Source organism: Homo sapiens, chromosome 2 (assembly GCF_000001405.40).
Source record: "Homo sapiens chromosome 2, GRCh38.p14 Primary Assembly".
NCBI lineage: Eukaryota > Metazoa > Chordata > Mammalia > Primates > Hominidae > Homo > Homo sapiens.
In genome coordinates this window covers 80,341,645-80,364,453 of record NC_000002.12, presented here as the reverse complement: position 1 = coordinate 80,364,453, position 22,809 = coordinate 80,341,645, and the positions used below count along the sequence as shown (strand labels likewise).

Below are 22,809 nucleotides of genomic sequence, written 5' to 3'. Positions count from 1 at the left end.
AAAGAGTTTATATTTAATATTTTCAGGCTTCACCATCTCCTTTTTTGTAAACTGTGTTTTAAAAAGGGAAAGGAGAAAAGAGAAAAGAACATCTTGTTACAGAGGCTTTAATTTTAAAATTGACCCTTTCTATTGAACTCTGAAGAAGTGATCAGATAATTTATAAAAACACGCCTTCAAAAGTTTATTTTCCAAAGCTTTTTTCTCCAAGAGAATCATAGGCAAAACAGCAAGACAGGAGAACAGTTATTTTTAGCAATCTCAGTGGTACAGCTTTCTCCTGAGGCAAAACTTAAATCAGATAAGGGTCTCCGAGGACCTGAAAGGAAGGAAACCACCCACTTACTGTATTCAACTCAGTCCTCCCCACACAAACTCGATTTTAGAAACAGAATTAGAAAACATGTTAGAGAATATTTAAGGATGACACACTGCAGTAAACGCTAGGAACCACATTTCAACAACTGTTAGAGGCTATTACCACTCCCGTTGCATGCAAGAAAATTAGCTGTAATTGGGTAAGCGACACAAGTGTAGCACAGGAATGGGAATTGAACAGACACTTAATTAATGGTATTGGGAGAAGGGAAATGGGATTAATGAATGGTTGATATAAATTCCGTTTTGCTATTGGGTTAATCACTGGTCTCATGAAAATTTATTTCCTGGCTAAGATTTATAGCAGGGGTTTTAAATATTTTATTCCATTCTGAATAATTTCTAACTGGCATTGTAATTTCCAGAATCATACTAGCCACATTATTTATTGGTGTGTATACCTGCTACCCATATGCACGCACCATTATAAGAATGTGGCAGGACTCAATTCTAAGTACAGAAATCCTCACGCAAATAGAGGAGGATAGCTTTGATTCGACATCTTGTTTAATAATTAGGGCCTCACCAATGATTCATCACCACGAAGGTGATGAATTCCATGTCTGAAGAACAAAGCCCAATCTTAGCATTGTTTCAGTCACCAGAGCATTTACTGAGCCCGGCTTTATTTGAGAGAGCTGGTAAAATCATGTAGCATGCTTGAGATTTTTGAGTCTTTCAATCTTCAATTTAATTCTTATACTTAGCATTACCATGGAGCTATTTTTAGTTATTTTTGCTTTGCTTGTACTTTATCTCATGATATGTCAAATCTGTCAAATCGAAGTACCTCTGAATTCAAGCAATGGCATCATTTTTTTTTCTTCATGTTTTTAAAAATCATTTCTGAAGAAAAAATATTTCTGTGCTTGTTTTCCACCATATCTAAATTCATTTCTTGTACTTATATTTATTTTTGTATTAAAATGTATCTTGCAGGATTTTTTAAACCAAAATAATTATTTAGGACATGTCTTTATAAAAATACAATTTCTGAAAAATATATCTAGATGAATTAGTTAATAAGTTAGAACAGCTTGAATTTACTGTGACTTTTTTTTTTTTTTTTTTGAGACGATGTCTTGCTATGTTGCCCAGGCTAGAATGCCATGGTGCAGTGGTAATTCACAGGCCTGATATATAGCAAACCTAAGCCTCAAACTCCTGGACTGAAGCAATCCTCCTGGCTCAGCCTCCCAAGTAGCTGGGATTACAGGCATGCACCACCACGCCCAGTTCCTAACATTTATTGTTAATACTACTATGGAACAAGAACACATTGATAACAAGAGAATTCATACACAACATTTACAGAAAACTGGTTCTTATGGGTAAGACGTGCAGAGAGAGTAAATGTTCAACTCCAACCGATAAATGTAGAGCTGACACATTTTTGTTGCAAAAAGATTCTTGGCCTTGTAGAGAGAGACTCTTTTAAAAACGTTAAGTTTCCACTTAAATATTAGATTCATGTATTAACCAGTAAAGATATCTCATTTCTAGTAATTTCAGCATCTAAAATGACAAGTGAGTTTTGCACAGTTACTTTTCTTAGGCCCTGTGTGATGTGAAATAATTAAGAGTGTTATTACTCCCCTTTCACAGATGAGAAAAAAGATTCAAGAAGATTGAGTGGCTTCCTAAGATGTGTAAGGGTAAGCACAAATCAAAAAAGAAAAAGTAAATAATTCTCTCTGTTGAAAATAGAGAAGAGACCTCTCCCTCATCCTTTTTCTTGCTTTAGAAAACTTGTAAATTATTTTTCAGTCTCTTTGAAATGTATGTAAATCTTTTTCAAAGTTAAATAAGCCTCTTGCCAGCCTTATAATGGAGGAGTGTCTTTCTCAAGGACCTGGGAACTATCTCTTTGAAATGTTATCAAGGAAGAAAGCATCCTTATCAACCAGTTCTGTGGCAGGGGTAGGAACCTAACTTCATTTAGGTTCCTTTCTCCAAATTGCAAAACTGCCTCATGTCATAAAGATAAGAGTTTGTTTTTCTTTGAGACAAAGTCAATTAGCTAAAACAGATGGTCACCCTAATTACCAAGTGAATTCAGGTTGAACTGTGTGTGACAAATGGTGCTGTCAAGTCCTCTTACTAGAGGACTAGTTATAGTTTATCTTAAGAACATGTATGGGATGGGTTGCATCTATTTGGCTTTTTAAAAAGGTGTGATTTCTTTTTGTCTTTGCAATCTCTTAGTAGGCGGTCTATGATGCACATCATATTCTTGTTTAGTACTTATACAACAATGAAACCATTTTCTTTCTCTTCCACCTTCATGGAGAGGTTTTGGGGGGAAGGAGGAGATTTTGTTCTAAATTATATTTCCCCAACAGGTGACACACATAATAAACAACAGATGGAGTTCAGGCCTGGCCTCCAGAATCCATCCCTTGCACCTCCCTATTCATCACAGCTACTAATCCTGCTGTATTTTTCTAGTTGTGACCGTGTCATGTCATGATTTTTAAAATGTCCTTTTTTTGGGAACTGGTACTATGTGTCACCCAAATGGAAGTCAAACTACTGATGTGTTGTCTTAGAAATAAGAATAAGCCATTCAAGAAACTACATGTAGTTTGTGAACATTTACTTTAACCATACTCCTTAGGATTACCTTCACTTTATGAAACAAGAATGACAGTTTTTGTTGTTATATATTCAGAACCCAGTGAGCTACAATCCATTTTGCACCCACGCTGAGTAAAAAAACTAATATAATGGTGTGGCCCAAGTGAGGAACAAGTAAAGTTATGGTTGTTGTTTAATTTTTAACCACGTATTACTATTAAGAAATGCATTTCTATTTCCTCATGAGGACTCTCAGATAATTCTTATGATTTACTGAGAAGGCCTGAATATTTGACCTAGTTTGAGTAATAAAGATCCATTACCTCTTCAGGTTGATGTTCCATCTGCTAGAAAACCAATTTGTAGCCTACAAAAATTGGTATTACACAGCTCTTAATGGGAGAACAAAATAAAGGGGTTGGAGGCAATGAAGGCCAGCTGGGAGAAAAAAATGTGAGGACCTTGTTCATATGACATCCGTGTATACCATCCATTCCCAGGGTAAAAATCAGGTTCTGGAAAATCATCTATTTAAAAAAAACCCACTATAATACGTTTAATAATTAATAATAATAAACACAAATTAATAATAATCAATAGCAAGTATCAATAGAACATTAACAGTAGCATATTCAAGTTAGTGGTTTAGAGCGACAAACTCCAGGTTCTGCATAGATCTCCATGACATGAGAAATCTTATCAGAAAGCAAGTAAGTCAAAATGCTATCATTGTAGATTAACTTTAACTTCATTAAAAAAATAAAACATTTGCAAACGTCACCCTTCTGATTCACTTGTACTTCTGTTCTAGAGAAGTGGTTTGTAAGCAGGGCCACTTACATGTACTCCCTAAGCATATGCAGGGACTAATCATAGAGTACCCTATCAGGACAGTTTTAATAAAACAATTGCTAGATCCTCAAACTCTGTTAGTATTATGACCTAAAATTAGTCTAAGATGCTCCTGTGGTTGAAATTCTCCTTTTCCACTTTCACTCTTACCACTCTCCCATTTTACAAAATAAGGCACAATTCTCACCTATTCTATATCTTACTAAAGTATACTGCTCGGATGTGTAAAAAACCCTTAAGTACTACCAAAAGGGATAATTAGACAATTATTTTAATCCAAGTACCCTAATAGCTACCTCCATCTCTCTATACTATGTATTTTCAAAAAATATACGGTGTGTCATAATTATCCATCAAAATGGTTAATAGTTTTGATCAGTTGTGTGTTACTTATCATAGAAATAGCTCAATGCACAATGAACTTTTCAGCATATATAAACTTATGGTTCACCAGAAAAAATTAAGTATCAGTTTAAATATTTTGTTTCACTACCTCTTCCAATCCCTTCAAAACAATAAGAAAATTAGGAATAAATTTAATGAGAGGTGTTTAAGACCACTACATTAGAAACTACAAAACTTTGCTAAAAGGAATTAAAGATGTAAATAAATGGATAACTATATGATGGTAAAAGATAAGAAAATTCAATTTCATTAAGATGTTAGTTATCCCCAAATTTACTGACAGATTAAATATAATTCCAATCAAAATCACAATAGCTTGTGTTTCTGGTACAAATTAACAGTCTGATTCTAAATTGATATGGAAATATAAGAAAAAAGGAGTCAAGATTATGTTGAAGAAAAATTAGGTTGGAAGATTCACTCCATCAGATTTCATAACTTAGTGAAAAGCTATAATAATTAAGACAGCATATTAGTCCATTCTTACACTGCTCTAAAGAAATACCTGAGACTGAGTAACTTATAAAGAGAAGAGGTTTAATGGGCTCATGGTTCCACAAACTCTAGAAGCATAGTGGCATCTGCTTCTAGGGGGGCCTCAGGAAACTTACAGTTATGTCTCAAGGTGAAGGGGAAGCAGGCACATCTTACATGGCCAGAGCAGGAGGAAGAGGGGCAGGTGCTCACACTTTTAAACAATCAGATCTCATGTGAACTCTGTCATGAGAACAGCACCAAAGGGGGGGTGCTAAACCCATTCATGAAGGATCCACTCCCATGATCCAATCACCTCCCACCAGGCTCCGCCTCCAACACTGGGGATTACAACTGAACATGAGTTTAGGTGGGAATACAGATCCAAACCATATCAGACAGTGTATCATCGGCATAAATGTAGACAAAAAGCTCAGTAGAACCAGAGTCCTAAAATTCACTTAAACACATATGGCCACTTTATTTTTAATAATGATATCAATCCAATTTGATATGGATGGATAGAAGGAATTATTTATTTATTTTTTATTTATTTTAGAGACAGGGTCCTGCCATATTGCCCAGGCTGGTCTTGAACTCCTGAGCTCAAGTAATACTCCTGCCTCAGCCTCCCAAAGTGCTGGTGATTACAGGTGTGAGCCATCATACTCAGCGGCTAAAAAGGTTTTTTTTGTTTTGTTTTGTTTTTTTCATTAGTGAGCCTACAGTAATGGAGTCAAAAAATCAATAAAAATGTTCAATTCTAAAAATATATTGCTTTAGAATCAATTTCTGTGATAGGATAGAATGGAAACCCCAATGCAAAAAGGAAAAAGAATGAAGTAATATTTGAAAATGTTATAAAGAACCTCTTCATGTTTTTTTTTAATGGGTGAAGTGATATTTCTGTTCCGTTTGTTATATTTCAAAAGAGTGATGTGAGAGTTTTATTTTACAATGTTAACATATTCAATATACTAGAAAGTGCATCCTTTGCAACTGGTTAGACTTGAGATATAACATTTTATATATCTACTTAAAGATATACAAGGAAATACATACTTTTTCAAAAATTATTTAAGGGATGTACAAGCTAAACATAAAAGTAGAGTAGTGGCTGGGCACAGTGGCTCACGCCTATAATCCCAGCACTTTGGGAAGCTCAGGCGGGTAGATAACCTGAGGGGTCAGGAGTTCAAAACCAGCCTGGTCAACATGGTGAAACCCCATCTCTACTAAAAATACAAAAATTAGGCAGGCATGGTGGTGGGCACCTGTAATTCCAGCTACTCAGGAGGCTGAGGCAGGAGAATTGCTTGAACCTGGGAGGCAGAGCTTGCAGTGAGCCAAGATTGCGCCATTGCACTCCAGCCTTGGTGACAAGACCGAAACTCCATCTCAAAAAAAAAAAAAAAAAAAAAAAAGTAGAATACTACTGACGTAGAACTCATTCATACATTTATTTAGCAAAAATATTTTGATATCTATTACATGCCAGACACTCTTCAAGCCTAAAATACTAGTAAGCAATGGTTAATGACTATTGAAGGCTTACTCCTTGCCACGCACTGTCCTAAGGACTTTGTAAGTAAGCATTAACTGAATTTATTTTCACATCGCTCCTGTGAATAGGTACTCATAGTATCCTTACTTTCTGGGTGATAAAACTAAGGCACAAAAAGGCTATAGACGTTTCCCCAGTTCACAAAGATAAGGAATGAACAAGAAGGACATAGTGTCTGCCCCCACAGAGCCTACCTTCATGAAGACTAGAAGTTAGGCAGCCCCACTTATATCTAGCTTTGAGTGTCACATGCAAAGATAAGCGCCACCTCTACCCTCTCATGTTCTAAGAGCACCCTGTATTACCAAGTGTCAATAAAAAAAATCAATTTTAGAGATGGCTTCTCTTAGCACAGTTCTGGGTCAGGCAGTAGCTGTTGACAATCTATGAAGGTAAGTATCTGATGGTATTATCTATGTGAATCAAATAGGTTATAAATTTGCCCAAGTCCTTGGAACCAGGAACCCTGACCTTGTCTTTTATTCTCAGTGCTCGAGTGCCAAATAGGTGGTTTTGACTAGAAGAGTCATATTGATTCTTCTGTCTTTAGTATGCAGGCCTCAAGAAATATCAAGATACTGACGAGATCCTCCTTTTTCCTATATTCTGCCACACATCATTGGTCCCACTTGGAATCGGGGAGCAGGGAAGAAGAACCAGTTCCATCTATCTGTCAATTCGGTCTGTCCATAGAGGCATCTGCTTTGTGCCCGGCTCTATGATAGGCACTGTCAGAGATGAGGATATCGAAAAGACTTCCTGGCCTCTGGAGATGCACAAAAGGAGGGGCACTATGAATGTAAATACCAAATACAGATAGACTATGAGACTGCTGAACTATATCTACAGAACATCATGCTACCTTCTTTCTTTCCTTTCCTTCCCCTTTTGACTATTTTCCTTCCTTGCTTACCAAAAAAAAATAAAAAATAAAAAAACAAAAACAAACAAACAAAAAAAAAACAAAAAAAAAATGCTATTTTGAATGCCTCCTGGCAAGGTAACTAAAAGGTAAGCCTTCAGGGATCTGTGGTGATGAACAGGTACCATGGACTCATTAAAGAAAACTACTGTTTTCTATCATAACCATTCACTGACCTTTTTCTTTGCTATAATTTAAGCACTCCTCAAGGGGTGCATATGACTTCCAGTTTGTGCTTGATTATGAGTGGTTAGCCTGCCTGAAGTTAACACTGCTATCTACCTTCCTACCTTCTCCAGTGAGCTAAATTCAATCCAAAAATATTAATATGACTCCTCGCTAGGCCTCTAGCCTTTTGAGGAGATCCATAGCACTTGCCTGGTTTATTTTATACTTGATACCAAAAGGTATTTTGATTCAGCCATACACAAGTACCTGGCCTCTAAGTGCTTTCAAACTAGTTGAGAGACAAGAAAAATGCCCCCAAAGAGACTTCCTAAGACAGCTGACCGATAAGTGTTGAATGAATGGTGTCGACAAAAATACTTGGAGGTTCCCTGGATGGTGAGATTAATGATGGCTGCAATGATCCTGGCCATTAAAATGGCCAGGCACATTTTAGTTACTGTTTCCATTTCCCCCCTCTATTATTTTTTCCCATGACAGTTCTTCCTTCTGTTCTCTCTCATTTCTGCACTCTCAAACCTTGGTTTCTTCTCTCTGTATGGTTCATCCCCACATCTCCATTGCCAGGACAGTGGCTGGCCTATCATGGGTACACAATAAATGTTTATTATTGGATGAGAATAGCTCAGGATGTTTGAGCCGGAAGAAACCTTGGAGACCACTCTTTTATAACTGAGTTCCAGAGAGGCTAAGAGATTGCAGGATTCGCAGTTGGAATCAGCAGTGTGGAATCTTGGTGAGCTCACTCTAGGTATAATGATGTTTTTACCATGTCTTGCTGCCCCTGTTTATGTTCAAAGCAAATACAGATTCCATTTTCTGTCCATTAGTCACCTTTGTGCCAATGTGAGGTTAAATCCACTTACCTGGTTTTTGGCTTTTATAGACAGCCAACTTCTTTTATCACTAACCATTGGTCAAAGCTATTTTCAAGAAGAAAATCAGGCCCAGCAGGCATGTTCCCTATCTTATTGCTCTGCAGGCTGCTTTGCAGAGAGAGAAAAGAAACAAAGTGAAACAAAAGCCAAAAAGGGCCAAACTATTATATAATTGACATAACAGAGTTGCCAAGGATAAAGAGGGATCCAGCAGGTGGACAGTGATTATTTTGAAGAGTGAAATGGACAGGCTAAGAAATGGAATCTTTTTGGGAGAAAAAAAAGAACAATGTGACTGTGCTATTTACCCAGCAATATAGACCATGGAAGGTGAATACTTTTTTGGGGTATCATTAATTTTAACCTCTGGGCAGTAAAAATTGTTCTACCTAAGTAAAAATGGTCGTTTAATGTTCATGGAAAACAAGACTTTTAAAATTATATAAGAGTTCAAAAAAGAAAGAAAGAAAAAGTTGTCCAATGGGAACAAAAATAGAAAAGTTCATCATATACAACGGAGCATCTTTGCTGATGAGAAATGGTCTTTCCCTAAAACTAAAGTGACAAGAGGTTACCTGCCTGAGGCATGATGATCACTAGAATATCAGCCAGGACTGTGTCTGGCAGCGTGTAGCCAAAACCCAATAAAGAGCGGCTTAATAAGTATGATGCTTATTGTTCTTACATAGCAAGAAGTTGTTCAGAAGACTAATCAGGGCTTGTACAGTGGCCCAAGGGAGTCGAGTTGGCATCCCTATCATCCTTAGAATGTAGCTCTCATCCTCATCATCACAAAGGAACTGCTGAGCCTCCAGACATTATGCCCATATGCCAGGCAAGATGGGGAAAAGAGAAGAGCAAAAAGAGCATGCAGACTTTTTATCAGAAAAACGATCTGTTCTAGATGGCTTCTGCTTACATCTCATTGGCCAAAACTATGCCATGTGGCTTCTCCTAGCCGGAGGAGAGTCTGTAAAGTCAACATTTTTGCTTTTTAGCTGAGAATATTGCCAGGCTGGACAGTGATATTACTAAGGAAAAAAAGAGAGAATGGATATGTGGTAGGCATATAGCGATGTCTGCTACAATTAGGAAGAAGATTCATTGCCAAATGGCCCCTGACTAATACAGAAACTGCAGTGGTAAACTAGCACATGATAAACCAGCCCTTATCCTGTCCACATCAGTGCCCTGGACATTGGGAGGCAGAAAAATAAACACCATGAATCCTACCACTAAGTGCACTCCCTGTACAAGGTATTAGAGTGGTTTAGAGGTGAAAGAAACACCCACACTTCTCTGTCCACCCTCCCATCTAGAGCAACAATCCCTGACCCAGCACCCCTGACAGCAGATCTTCTGGCATACAACTGAAGCAAGGGCGATCTAGACCCTCACTGCCAGAGTATGGGCCCAGACCGGCAGCTTTAGCACCTGAGTTTGAGAAACACTGATCTAGAAGTAATATCACTTCCAGAGAACAGCTCTATTTATTAGAAAAAAAATCTCCCACATGCTGTGTTGGAAATATATTTCCCTATCATTCTGCACATGATCAAGTCATGTATTCAAATATTTAAATTACGGAAATGCTATCCTCCCTAAGACTTCTCTTCTAAAACTCCCCCGAAACTCCTTATCCCATTTGCTTTCACAATCCTCACAACACTGGTAATTCTGTTTGCGTTTACTTGTACCTTTGTCCCCTCAAAATTCTATCTCCAGAAATCCACACCACCCTAAAGATGCACTCTGTTTGCAAGAGGGAAAATGGAGGCCATATGACTCATGCTCTTTTCTAGTTGTGCTTCTAGTGGGTGAGTGATTTGGTTATGATGGCATTGGACAAAAAGACTTTTCAAATCAAGCACCTTTATCATATCCTCCCCCTTCCTCTCCTCTGTAGTATATTCCCATCTTCACCCACCAACTCCCTCCTACATGTACACTTCCTTCTAGAATTCCATCCCCTGATATTCTCCCGTGATGACATTTTAATTTCTGTCTTATTTGTTTCTTTCAATAAAGTGTTTGGATAGGAGTACTCCTGAAGTTAGAGTGCCACAACCGAAGAAGTGCAAGGGACTCATTAGTTGACGGTTAAGAAGAAGTTCTGAAAGAGGCTCAGTTGTGAGTGGTTAACTGCTTTAACCAAATTCTCAGGGGCAAACTCTGGTTCTCTCATTTACCTCCATTTACCCTGGCAACCACCTCCCTCCTTTGGCTGTATTAACATACCTCCTGAAACCTGGAGCACAGAGAGCTTGTGTCAGTGAAAAATGCATGTGGAATGAGGTTTTGTTTTATTTTTTTCATATTTAAGCAATTTCCTAAATTAGGCTCTTTTGGCAGCTGTATTAATTCAAGCCACTAAGATATTATTTAGTACCTTGCTGCTCCAGGGCACTAAATAATGTCACATTTTCAAAGCATAATGCCATTAGAGTTTATAAAGCACTTTCACCTGGGTTATCTCATTCGATCTTGGCAAAAGCTCAGTGCAAAAAGTAGAAGTGGTGCATAATCATTGTTTTGTAATGATATAGATGCTCCTGTTATGAGCTCATGCGGTAAATATGTGAGAGGCAGAGGTAGGTCTAGAACATCTGTCTCTTAACTATTTGTTCAGAATTGTTCTCACAGTGGCATAAAGGAGTAAAGAGCCTCAATTAAGGGATATGTGATCTTTGTGTTATATACATTTTTTAAATTTAAATGTATCCAATTCAACTGGACACATGGTAGCTCTATATATTATAGGTTATAGTAGAAAGGAGAGAATAGTTAACAAGATTCTAACCTGTATGGTATGTCCGATATTTGACAACAGAAGACAATTTCATCATACTTATGCCAAGCTACCACATAACTCCTTTAAGTCAGAAAATGGTAGTAGTTCTTGGGCTGTTGTATCCAGTCTTATATTGTCATGGCAGAATTTTGTCCCTTATTGCTTGAAAATTACCCCCTTCCCTACCCCCAGTACCTACTTTGCTATTTATCAGGGGCCTGATAATCTAAATGGAGAATCTAAATCTAAATCTAAATGGAGGGGAAATACTAATGATTGATGAGCAAGATCGCTCTGGCCATGATAAAGATGCTCTAGGACCTGAGCATTTTGGTGGAACAAGATGAACTAGGTTTCTTGGGGAAGACATAGTCACATCTAAACCTCCTGAACACTCATTTAGAGGGTTTTGTCTTCTCAAGCACTGATACATGTACTGTCCTAATAGATGTAATGAACCTACTTCCCCAGAAGAAACATCTTTTTTGGAATCTTTATTTTTTTTTTTTAAAGTAACCTCTTGATCTGACATAATTCATGGGAAATTACAGTGGAGGATCATATATGATCAGGAAGAAGTTAAAAATATCTTCATTGCCTGGTATTCCATAAAATGGAATCAACTGAAGATACATTTGTCTTATAATAAACTCAAATAAATAGCTTAATTAGATGAAGCACATAGTTCTCCTCAGATCTTTTATAGTACTCATTGACTATCATTTCAAGAAATGGCATATTTCCACAATCCATTAAATAATAAATCATGCCCTAAGAAAGGATCTTTTGGGGACCAAGCAACCATTCCTTTACAATTCTTAGAAGCAAAGTATTTACTTAAAGATCCCAGTGGAGGAATTCTTACTGCTGATGAAGTGTCCTATCAAAACATTTACCTAAAAGTACAATTGGCATTAGACTCATTGCCTGAATCAATGACTGCTGCTAGTTGGCTTTCTAATCACCAACTATAGTTGAGTTTACATTTAATATGAATACTGACCAGCGGAAATATCAGTTGGGGACATGTAGATTACATGGCAGAGTAGTAAGGCATTTTCAATATCCATTACATTAGCCTCAGGCAATAAAAAAAATGGCTCCTTTATAGGTCGCTCTCTATGTAGGTTCAAGACATTAATTCACTAGAAGCACTTTTTTTTATTGTTTTATTGTTATCAGCATGCAAATTTTCAGATTAGCTCAGCCTTGACTTACTCATGTCAGAGAAATAGCTTTAAAATGACCTGACTTTGAGGACTAACTTATATTACTTGAAAGCTGGATTGCTACATCGAAAAATATTAAAAACATAACCCTTGATTCCAAAATTCTCCCTTGCAGTGGGCACACTCAAGGTGAATGAGGGTTCCACTCTGGGAAGACAGACATGAAAGAACAAAAGCATAGCACCCTATTAGACGAGCTTCCCTCTGTGTCCCTGCAAAGAGAGGAAAGGTCTGGAAATGGTCAGTAGTTGTCAACTTTCCCCAACTATAAAATTGAGTGGCTAATATGCTGAATGTTAATTAGATGATCAACTAAGCAAGTAACTAGCACATGGTAAGTGCTCAGTTAATACTGACATTAAAGTGAGAAAGAGTGAGAATCATGGAAAAAAGATAAAATTAGCCCAAACTGGTAGACTAAAGTACCGAATTTGGCCAGAGCATCACGCCTGTTTTGAAGAAGAAAAATGAGAGCAAAGTATTATACCACGATTTTAGTTATTTTCAAAGTACCGCAGCAACTCTCAAATGTGAAATTAACGCCCCTCTGCTTACCCCCCATGCATGTTAAAGCAAATTAAATTTCATGCCAAATCACCCAGGCAGTTAGCGAGCAGCACAATTTCAATCTGTAGGATTTAAACTGATTGCTCTAAAAATATAATTCACCAATCGGGCAGCATTGAAGTCAAACATGGTCTTCTTTAGTCATTTCTCCTGACAAGCTATTTTCCCAGGAATGTGGCCATGGTGAACTGCAGGTTGACTCATCTCATAGAAGTGAGAGGTTTTATTCTCATCTGCAACCCAGACACAGCAGGGAATAATAAACTGACCTGTTGGAGGCATGGAGTTCTTCCCCTGGCTATAGGCGAGTATTACATTTAGGCTCTATTGACCAGACAACAAAATGCTTCCTAGTTCAAAAAGCCACTCTGCCTATGTGGGGAAAGAGGTCACTTTTGGTTCCCTATTTTTATCATATTTAATCACACTTGCAACTGGAATGTATGTCTGTGCGTGTGTATGTGTTTCATTTTTAACCTGCATCTCACTTGCTATAGTAGGAATCTGTTTCTTTTTATTCTTTTATTCTGTTCTCAATGGTTGTAGGAGTGTTCTAACAAAATGCATATAAGTGACTGTTAGAGCTCATCACGAGAAAGAATAATGATCAAACTCACTTGCTTTCTTCAGTTCAGGCTTTAGGTCATCTGAAGTGTTAGCTTAAACCCTGCATTATGCCTTATTTGGAGTTGTTTCAAAAATTATTGTCACATGAGAGTTTTTACTAAAGTCCCCCATTTTGAAAAGTGCAGGTGTTGGATTCAGACATCTAGAAGACTTCTGTCACGCTTGAGGCTGCTGTTAATATTAACAGAGGATCTCAAATTCCTCGATTCATGAAAACAGTCATTGAGCCATGGTTGTTGGGGCACTGGAGGTGGGTAAGCAGTTATCTTCCAGATATAATCAAGGCAATGCCAGAGTTCAAATTGGCTCCAAGTGCTTTACCACATTCATTTATTTAATTTTCATTAAAATCCTAGGTAGAAAAATATTTTTTCACATTATAAATTACTACAAGGTATGGACTCTTAGTCTTACTTGGAGAGGTTCATTCAAGGAATAGAAAGCTAGCATTCATGTAATCAGGACAAGCTCCTTTGTGTTTAACTAGAATGATGAATGCTCTATGTGCCACTTCTTGTAGCAACTGCGTTGCACTTGATCTTTAACACTGACATGTCTACATAATTATTTTGCAGTAAGCATAAGAAATCTGAACAAATGATTAGCGGGCATCTATCTAAATGATGGCACAGTTTTAAAGAAACTATTTTAGATTTAACATAGAGAATAAGAATGCTACAATAAAATAAAACTTACCATTTCATTCGGAAATCTGTGTAAATGTCCTTGACTGTCAAATGACTCAGTTGGCACTATGGGCATTTAGTGTTCAGGGCCAAGGATTCCAAACTTTCTGTCAAAGCCCAGCATTCCCTCATACTGAAAATTTATCCACTCAAAAATGCCAAAAGCACACCCCTAGATCTGAAGCATGATAGTTTAAAGAATACCTTCTCTTGCTCTGCAGTTATATTTATATTTAAATGATGCTTCTACAGAATTGAAGATTCATTCATACTCCATTGTATTTTAAATATCTTCCTAGAATTTATTGTTGCTGTTAATAAAATATTTTAGAAAATCTTTCATAAATATAGACTGTATGAAAATCAGCTTCAATTTAGCCCCTGGACTAGCCATCACAATTTCAAATAAGTTGAAATAAAACTTCTTAATCAAAAAAGATAAGGGAGGAGAGTGGCAATTCAAAGGTGAAAAGATGGGAGAAGAGAAAATGAACAGGAGAGCCCAGTATGGTGGCTCATGCCTGAATGCCAGCAACTCCGGAGGCTAAGGCAGGATGATAGCTTGAGCCCAACAATTCAAGACCAGCCTAAGCAACATAGCAAGACCCCATCGATTTAATTAATTCATTCATTAAAATGAACAGAAGAAAGGGTAGAATCTAGGGATATAACAAGATACCAGTGAAAATAAAGTGGGAGGCAGTGGAAGTTAAAGAAATAAAGACAAACTGAGGGGAGACCTGGAAAACAGGAAAAAAAAAGGAAGGTGGGAAGATCTCTGCTTCTGCATATTACTCATAAACATGGTGATTGTAACAGGAAATGGTAATCAGAACCTGGGGCCAGAACTCCCCTACCAGGATCTCCTTTTTGGCTTTCCTAGGGTTTCAGCATCAAGTTTAGAATAGTTTATGCCAGAATATACCCATCCCCAATACACAAACGAATCAACAAATCAACAAAGCTGCCTTTTTGCTAGCATTCTCTCAGTGTGATGCTATGGAGAAACATGAAGCCATTGGGAGCAAAGATGTTTATAAGCCAAGGTCCTTCTCAGATATACAGAAATTCAATCTCAGAAAAGAATTCACAAGGATATGAAAACAACCAGATGAAAGACTCTGCATTTTCAGACAGAACAATTCCAGTCTTCATCAGGCAATGAGAACAGTCAGGGACCACAGATGGCATGTTCTGGAAGCTATCATTTAACAAAGTCACTGCTTTGTTAAGTGCCTTTCATGGCTGGCTATGAAGTGGACACCAAAAATCTCAGCAAGTTAATCCATTTGTCCTTTACATTGTGCCATCTGCTGCAATATACAATCTGAAATAACCTTTTAGTATTTCTGATAGTAGTACTTTTTCCTTTCTTCTAAAGCTTGTCTTTCCTCTGTTGCTTCCTTCCAATCTGACTAGAGCAGCAGCTCTTAGTGAAGCATCTACCTCTTGCAAATTCTTTCAAGCTACCCTACCCAGCGCACCTAACAAACATCTCAATACCTTGTGCTCCTCAGTCACCTTCAATTCCCCTAACTTCTCTGCTTGTTTGTTGTTATTTAAATCAGAACCTAAGGGCATATACTACGTTTACTCAGTGATGGTTGGTGGAATGTCTTACACAAAATTTCAAAAAGCTACACATGTCTATGTGTACACTGCATAAGGCTACACAAAAATAAACCAGAAATGCTCTTTTTAAAGTTGCTGTTAATCATACACAGCTACGTTTTTCCAGAAACAGCATGGAGGATCAGAAAAGTACGGGCTTTAGGAATCAGATAAAGACTTTTCAAATGCCAAGTTCAACCTCTGGCTTTTCCAATGACCGGCTGTGCAATTTAGGCAGTTATTTAACTTTTTGAAATCTCAGCTCTTGCTGCTTTAAGAGAAATAACTACTGCATAGCATTGGTAAGACCTTTAAATGACATTCTTTAGACCATAACCTTCCCTCTGAAAACATATTCGGAAATGAAATTCAATTAAGCAAATCTTTTGACTGGTCTAGAATAACCATATAAACCAAAGCTATCCATCAATTTTCAAATAAGCAGATAAAATAGAAAAAGCAGTAAACTAAATAGATAACTTACTTGTCTCTGGTGATTAAGAAGACAGCTAACATATGAGTGGATAAAACACAAATAAAAATTTGTGGCTGGTAGAATGCCAGGTCACAAATTGAAAGTCTGTTTCAGAAATTGTCAACTCTTCACCATTCACATGTGCCTGAGATGCATTCTGGTTCTGCTCTGAACTAGAGGCTCTCAAACTCTGTTGTACCTTACAACCACCTGGGGAGCTTTGGAAACCCATCATGATCGAACTGAATCCCATACCAATAAAATCGGGCACTCTGACTGCAGGACCCAGGTGTCAATCAGTATTTTAAAAACTCCCCCCAAGGTGCTCCCAATGCACAGCCATGTTTGGGAAACAGGGCTTTAAACAACCCTTCTGGAAAAAAAAAAAGAAAAGAAAAGAAAAAGGAAAAGATAATGTGCAAATGAATCAGCTGGGGATCTTGTTAAAATAAAGATCCTGAGGTGTGGACACCAGAAACTGCCTTCCAAAAAGCTTCTAGGGTATTCTGATGCTACTGCTCCGGAACTACACTTTGAGTAGCAACCCTAAATCCAGTGTCAACAGCTAAGTATCCACATGGAATGTCAGATACAGTTTGTTGCTTATTTCCATTATGCAATGTGAGCTCAAAGAACACATGCTCCTCTTACTATTACCCCTCCCACCTCCATGAAAAGTTACTGAGAGTCTAAGGAGCGCTGTGCATTTCAAAATCAAATATAAATGAATTAGGTTGGATCGTTCATGTGACTGCTCCTCTCCCCTGGTGATGACATTCGTGGGCACATATATAATACACAGGCACTCTGCTAAAGCAGTCCAAAGCAAGTTTTCTTCGAAATCTCTACACTTGTCTTGGGGCTTTAGCTGAATTTCCTGTTAAATGGCATTAATGAGGACTCAGAGAAATAAAACCACAAAAATTGGTTTTACAGTGTAATGTGGGGAAAGTGACCAAGTGTTCACATGGAGGAATACATTCAACTCATCCCCACGTCCTGTAACTCCGAAGTGAACATTCATGATTTTGAGGCCATTTCCAATTGAAGGTGTCAGCCTAGTAGGGGCAGAGCGCTGAATCTGCCACTGCGGTGCTCGCTGATTGCTATATAGCACAAAGCTTGGTTTATCTCTAGCAGGAAATATGAGTCCACAGATAGCAAAGACTATTTACTGTATCAGCTTCTCTGCAGCCTTTAATCAAGACAGGATCCCAGCATGTAAGTCCAGATCTTCAAACCTTTCTAGCGGAAGCATGGTCACCCATAAATCCTTAATTCACAGAGACCATTTTCCTTAAGAAGTGCTGAGGGCAAAATTCTGCTGTCTTAGAACTTCTCAGCAACAAATGTGCCATTTTATTCAACACATGGGGGTACCTACCTAGGAGATGAATACAGAATTTTAAATTGGAAAGGCAGAAATTAAAATAATTTCATTCCTGGACATTTACATAAACCTCTTTCAAACATGATCTTGTAGGCATTTCCTTTTTAAGGTTTGTGAAATTTAGATAAATACCTTGGGAAGAGAGAAAGGGAGCTTTGGAAATGCATCATGATCAAACTGAACCCCTTATCAATAAAATCAGGCACTCCGATGCTGAGAGAAAGGAAAATGGAAGAACTTGAGGAGTATAAGCAGAAAGCTACAAAGGTGATACAGTTTGGATATTTGTCCCCACCCCAATTTCATGTTGAATTGTAATCCCCAATGTTGGAGGGTGGACCTGGTGGAAGGTGTTCGGATCATGAAGGCAGGTCCCTCATGAATGGCTTGTGCCATCCCCATGGTGATAAGTGAGATCTCTGAGTTCACACAAGATCTGGTCATTTAAAAGTGTGTGGCACCTCTCCCCGGGCACTCTCTCTCTTTTACTCTTGCCTGCTCCCACTTCACCTTCTACCATGAGTAAAAGCTTCCTGGGGCCTTCCCAGAAGCAGAGGCCAGAGCCATGCTTCCTGTACAGCCTGCAGAACCATGATCCAATTAAACCTCTTTTCTTATAAATTACACAGTCACAGGTGTTTCTTTAAAGCAATGCAAGAATGGCCTAATACAAAAGAGTTCAAACATGATTTTCCCCCTTGTAAAATTATGCTAGCGAAATTAAGTCCCCGAAACAAAATAAATAAACAGATCTGAATTCCTGTAGTTCAATTAAATGGTTCAAAAAAATTGTGATCAGAAATGAGTTCCAGTTTTATCTTTCTTATAAATAATTGTGTGAAAATGGAAAATTATTTTCTCCTTATGCCCTTTATCCTCAATCTGCAGGCCACCATGATTTAAGCAGTAGCAATCATCCAACAGACAATAGTAGAGTTTGGCTTTATACTTTGCCTCTTCCTCTAGGCCACGTATGATTAAACAGGAGTTCTTGGGTGTGGAAAACATCCTTGGAAAAATTTAAGAAGATACATTAGCTTTAGAATTTTAGTACAAATTATGTGGGTATAACTTTTTCTAAAAAAAAGTTTCCATAGATTTCATCAAATTTTAAAATAGTTCATAGTCTGTAAGCTAGAAAAGATTAAGAACTATTGAGTCATTCATTCAATTTTTTTTTTTTAAATTAGTCCCTACCATGCATCAGGTACTCTTCCGGGCACTGATGATATAGCAGTGAACTAAACATACAAATATCCCTGCCTCCTAGAAGCTTACATTCTTCTGGGAGGATGCAAACAATTAATAAAATAAGTAAAATAGATAGCACACCAGATGATGATAAATGATACCGAGAAAATAAAGCAGAGATAAAAGCCAAGGCTTGGGAATTGTGATTTAGAACAGTACAGACAAGGAAGGTCTTATGGAGGAGGTGCCACTTGAGCAAAGACTGAGGGGCTGGAGAAACAAGTCATGAATGTCAGTGGGGCAAGGGCCTTCCAGACAGAAGGACCTGCAGATGTAAATGGCTCTGAAGCAGGAACATTGCTGAGAATGGCAATGGGGCTAGTGTGCCAGGAGCTGAATGAAGAAGAGCAGTGGAAGGTAACATCTGTGAGATAAGGGGGAGGGGGCCACAGATGTGGCAGCTATAGACCACTGTAATGATTTTGGCAAACCACTGGAGGGTTTTGAGAAGAGAAATGATTCATTCTAGTTAGATTTTCTAAGGATCACTCTGGCTATTGTGTTGAGAATAGACCTGGAAAGAGGGTGGCAAAGGTGAATATAGGGAGAGCCATTAGGAAGTATTTGTAAAAATTCTGATGCAAAATGATGGAGATTTGGTAGTGATCGGAAGTGGTGAGAAACAGTAAGTGCCCAGATCTATTTCAGTGTAGAGGCAACAGAGTTTGCTAATAGATTAGACATGGAATATGAGAGGATGAAGGGACCCCAAGGCTTTTGGGATAAAGCACTAGGACGATAGAGTTGACTTTGATGGACTTGGGAAGAGCAGATAGAGAGGGATGGTCACTAATTTAGTTTCGGAGGCCATGTGTTGTGGCTCACACCTGTAATCTCAGCACTTTGGGAAGCCAAGAAGGGAGAATCACTTGAGCTCAGGAGCTCAAGACCAGCCTGGGCAACATGGAGAAACACCACATCTACAAAAAATACAAAAAGATAGCTGGGCGTGGTGGCGCAGGGCCATGGTCTCAGCTACTTGGGATGCTGGGGCAGGAGGATCACCTGTGCCTGGGAGATCGAGGCTTCAGTGAGCCAAGATCATGGCACTGCACTCCAGCCTGGGTGGCAGAGTGAGACTGAGGGAAGACATTTGGGAATGTTAAGATTGAGACACCAATAAAACATTCATGTGTTGACATTTCATAGGTAGTTGGATATAGGGATCTGGAGTTTAGCAGGTAAGCTTGAGTTAAAGACATAAATTTGGGAGTCAGCAACAAAAAGATGATATTTAAACCCTGACCCTGGAGAAGATCACTAAGGGTGTGGGTGTGCATCTACGAAAATGTCCAAAGACTGAGGTAGGAAGCCCTCCAGAGTTAAGAGATCAGGGAGATGAGAAGGACCTAATATGGAATGAAAAAAAAGAAATCCATGAAGGAGGAGAAAATCAGGAGCTTGTGAGTTCCGGAAGCCAATTGAAAGAAGTATTTCAAGAAGAAAAGGATCAAGTGTGCCCAAGCTGCTGATAGTGAGTAAGAGGTGGGCTGAGAGTCCTCCATTGGATTCAGGACCTTCACAAGGGTAGGTTGGGGCAGAGTGCAGGTGCTAAAAGCCTGATTGGAGAGGCCTCAAGAGAGAATGGGTGAATACAAATACTGGAATAGCTCTTCCCTTAAGAAGTTTTGTTACCAAAGGGATAAAGGAATGGGGAAATAGCTAGAGAGATACTGAAGTCAAGTTATATATATAAGTGTGTGAGGGAGAATTTAGATGTTTGTGTGCTGATAGAAATGATGCCACAGAATATTGTTTAGGTTTCTTAACAGACCTTACCCATCTTCTTTTCTTTCTATTTTTGACTGGTTTATTTTTAGCCAAAGTACCAATTGCGAGAGAAAAAACATCACTCCTTACATTTTTAGTAATTCCTTTTATTGGTTCAAAAGGATCGTGATCAGAAATGGGTTCCAGTCCTATTTTTCTTATAAATAATTGTGTGAAAATGGTAAGTTTGTTTTTTCCTTGTGCCCTTTATCCTGAATTTGCAGGCCAAGACGATCAAAGAAATGGTAACACACATACATTTCTTGGCAGTCGATAAAAACAGTGTTACAGAAGTAAATGACACAAAACCAGAGGATAATAAAACTTCCCAATTATATAATCATTTTCATCCTTTTTTCTCTGCAGGCTTGGAACACTGGAGATTTTTTTTATGTGTTTTTTTTTTTTTTTTTATCAAAAGTCACCAGATGGAAAATGACAAAGTCAGTCAAAGGAGCCCAGGTAAACTTCAATTCATACATGGATGATCTTAAGAGAACATCTATTCTTGCCTCATTACAATGGATTCCTCTGATTAAAATTATAATTTTAGCTAGGCCAAGAGAATATTAAAAAATTATAAGCCCTAGAATGTGACGTAGTGTTATGGATTGAATTGTGTCTCTCCAACTGATGTTGAAGTCATAACCTCTGGTACCTGTGAATGTGACTACATTTGAAAATAGTGTCTTTGCAGATGATCAAATTAAGATGAGGTCATTAGATATGCCCTAACCCAATGTAACTGTTTCCTCATAGAAAAGGGGAAATTTGGACATAGAGACAGACACACATAGAAAGATCACTCCGTTCTTTCACAGGGACACAGGGAGATCACCACCTACAAGTCAAACAACATTTGAGGCTACCAGAAGCTAGGAGAGAAGAATGGTACAGACCATCCCTCACAACCTTCAGTAGGAACCTCCCATGCTGATACCTTGATCTTGGACCTCTGTCCTCCCGAACTGTGACACAATACATTTCTGTTGTTTAAGCTACCCAATGTGTAGTATTTTGTTCCGATACCCTCTAGAAAATCAATACACTTAAAATTTAGTAAATAGAATTGAGGTCTTTGTTAAAACATTAAATGAGTAAACAAAAAACATGCAAACAAAAAACTGGCACTCTGCATTTTTTTTCATAATTTGAAATTTTGTATGAAAAGAAAGATTTTAAAAAAAATTAGGTGGCAGTTGATTATTTCAGTGCATGAAACATTTTATTTGCCTGGAAAGAAACTATTTTTATAATCAGGAAAAAATAAAACTCTTCAAATAAAATCTATCATTGTAATTTGTATGTTAATTTCAGGATGACCATGACTGCTTGCTCCCTGGCAAAGCCAATCTGACGACACTGTCAATTAGCTCTTACAGCAGCAGCATTGTTTATTTACAAGAACTGACTTCAAGTTCCAGTTCACCAAGTTCATCAGAGGGCAAATGAGAATTGCAGTGCTTGGAGACTTAATTTTAGATGTACTTATATGTTGTCTGGATGGCCCAACTCCAGGTGATACTATTTGCTGATTTTTCTAAACATCTTTATTTAGATGCAATGGATATGCCATAAAATTCACTCAAAGCATACAATTTAATGAGTTCAGAGTTGTGCAACCATCAGCACTCTCTACATGTAGACACTTTTATCTTCCCCAAAATAAATTGGTTACCCATTACCAATCATTTCCTATTCCCTCTACCCTTTCCTCCAGCCATAGACAGTCACTAATCTACTTTCTGTCTCTAGATTTGCCTGTTCTGGATATGTAATATAAATGAAATTGTACAATACACAGTCTTTTGTGACTATCTTCCTTTACTTAGCACAATGTTTTTAAGGTTCGTCTATGTTGTAGCATGCATTACTACTTCATTCTTTTTTATTGCTGAATTATATTCCATTGCATGGCTATACCATATTTTGCTTTTCTATTCATCAGGCAGCAGACATTTGTGTTCTCTGCAATTTTTGGCTGTTGTGAATAATGCTGTATGAACATTCATGTGCAAGTGTGTGTGGATGTGTGTTTTCCTATCTCTTGGATTATGCCCAGAAATGGAATTACTGGATCATATGGTAACTCTATATTTAGCAACTTGAGAACCTACCGAACTATTTTGCAAAGTAGCTGTACCATTCTACATTCCTATCAGCAATGAGTGAGGGT

At 37.9% G+C, this 22,809-nt stretch overlaps 1 protein-coding gene and 1 long non-coding RNA gene across 15 annotated transcripts in view; one reads left to right on the top strand and one right to left on the bottom strand.

Annotated features, from left to right (window-relative positions):
- Window positions 1-22,809, bottom strand: part of CTNNA2 (catenin alpha 2) — a 1,463,404-nt gene that overhangs the window by 284,327 nt on the left and 1,156,268 nt on the right. The window lies entirely within an intron of this gene.
- Window positions 407-22,389, top strand: LOC105374824 (uncharacterized). The gene is made up of 3 exons (XR_940286.3): window positions 407-518; window positions 1,984-2,033; window positions 21,000-22,389. It is a non-coding gene; the product is annotated as an uncharacterized LOC105374824 (long non-coding RNA).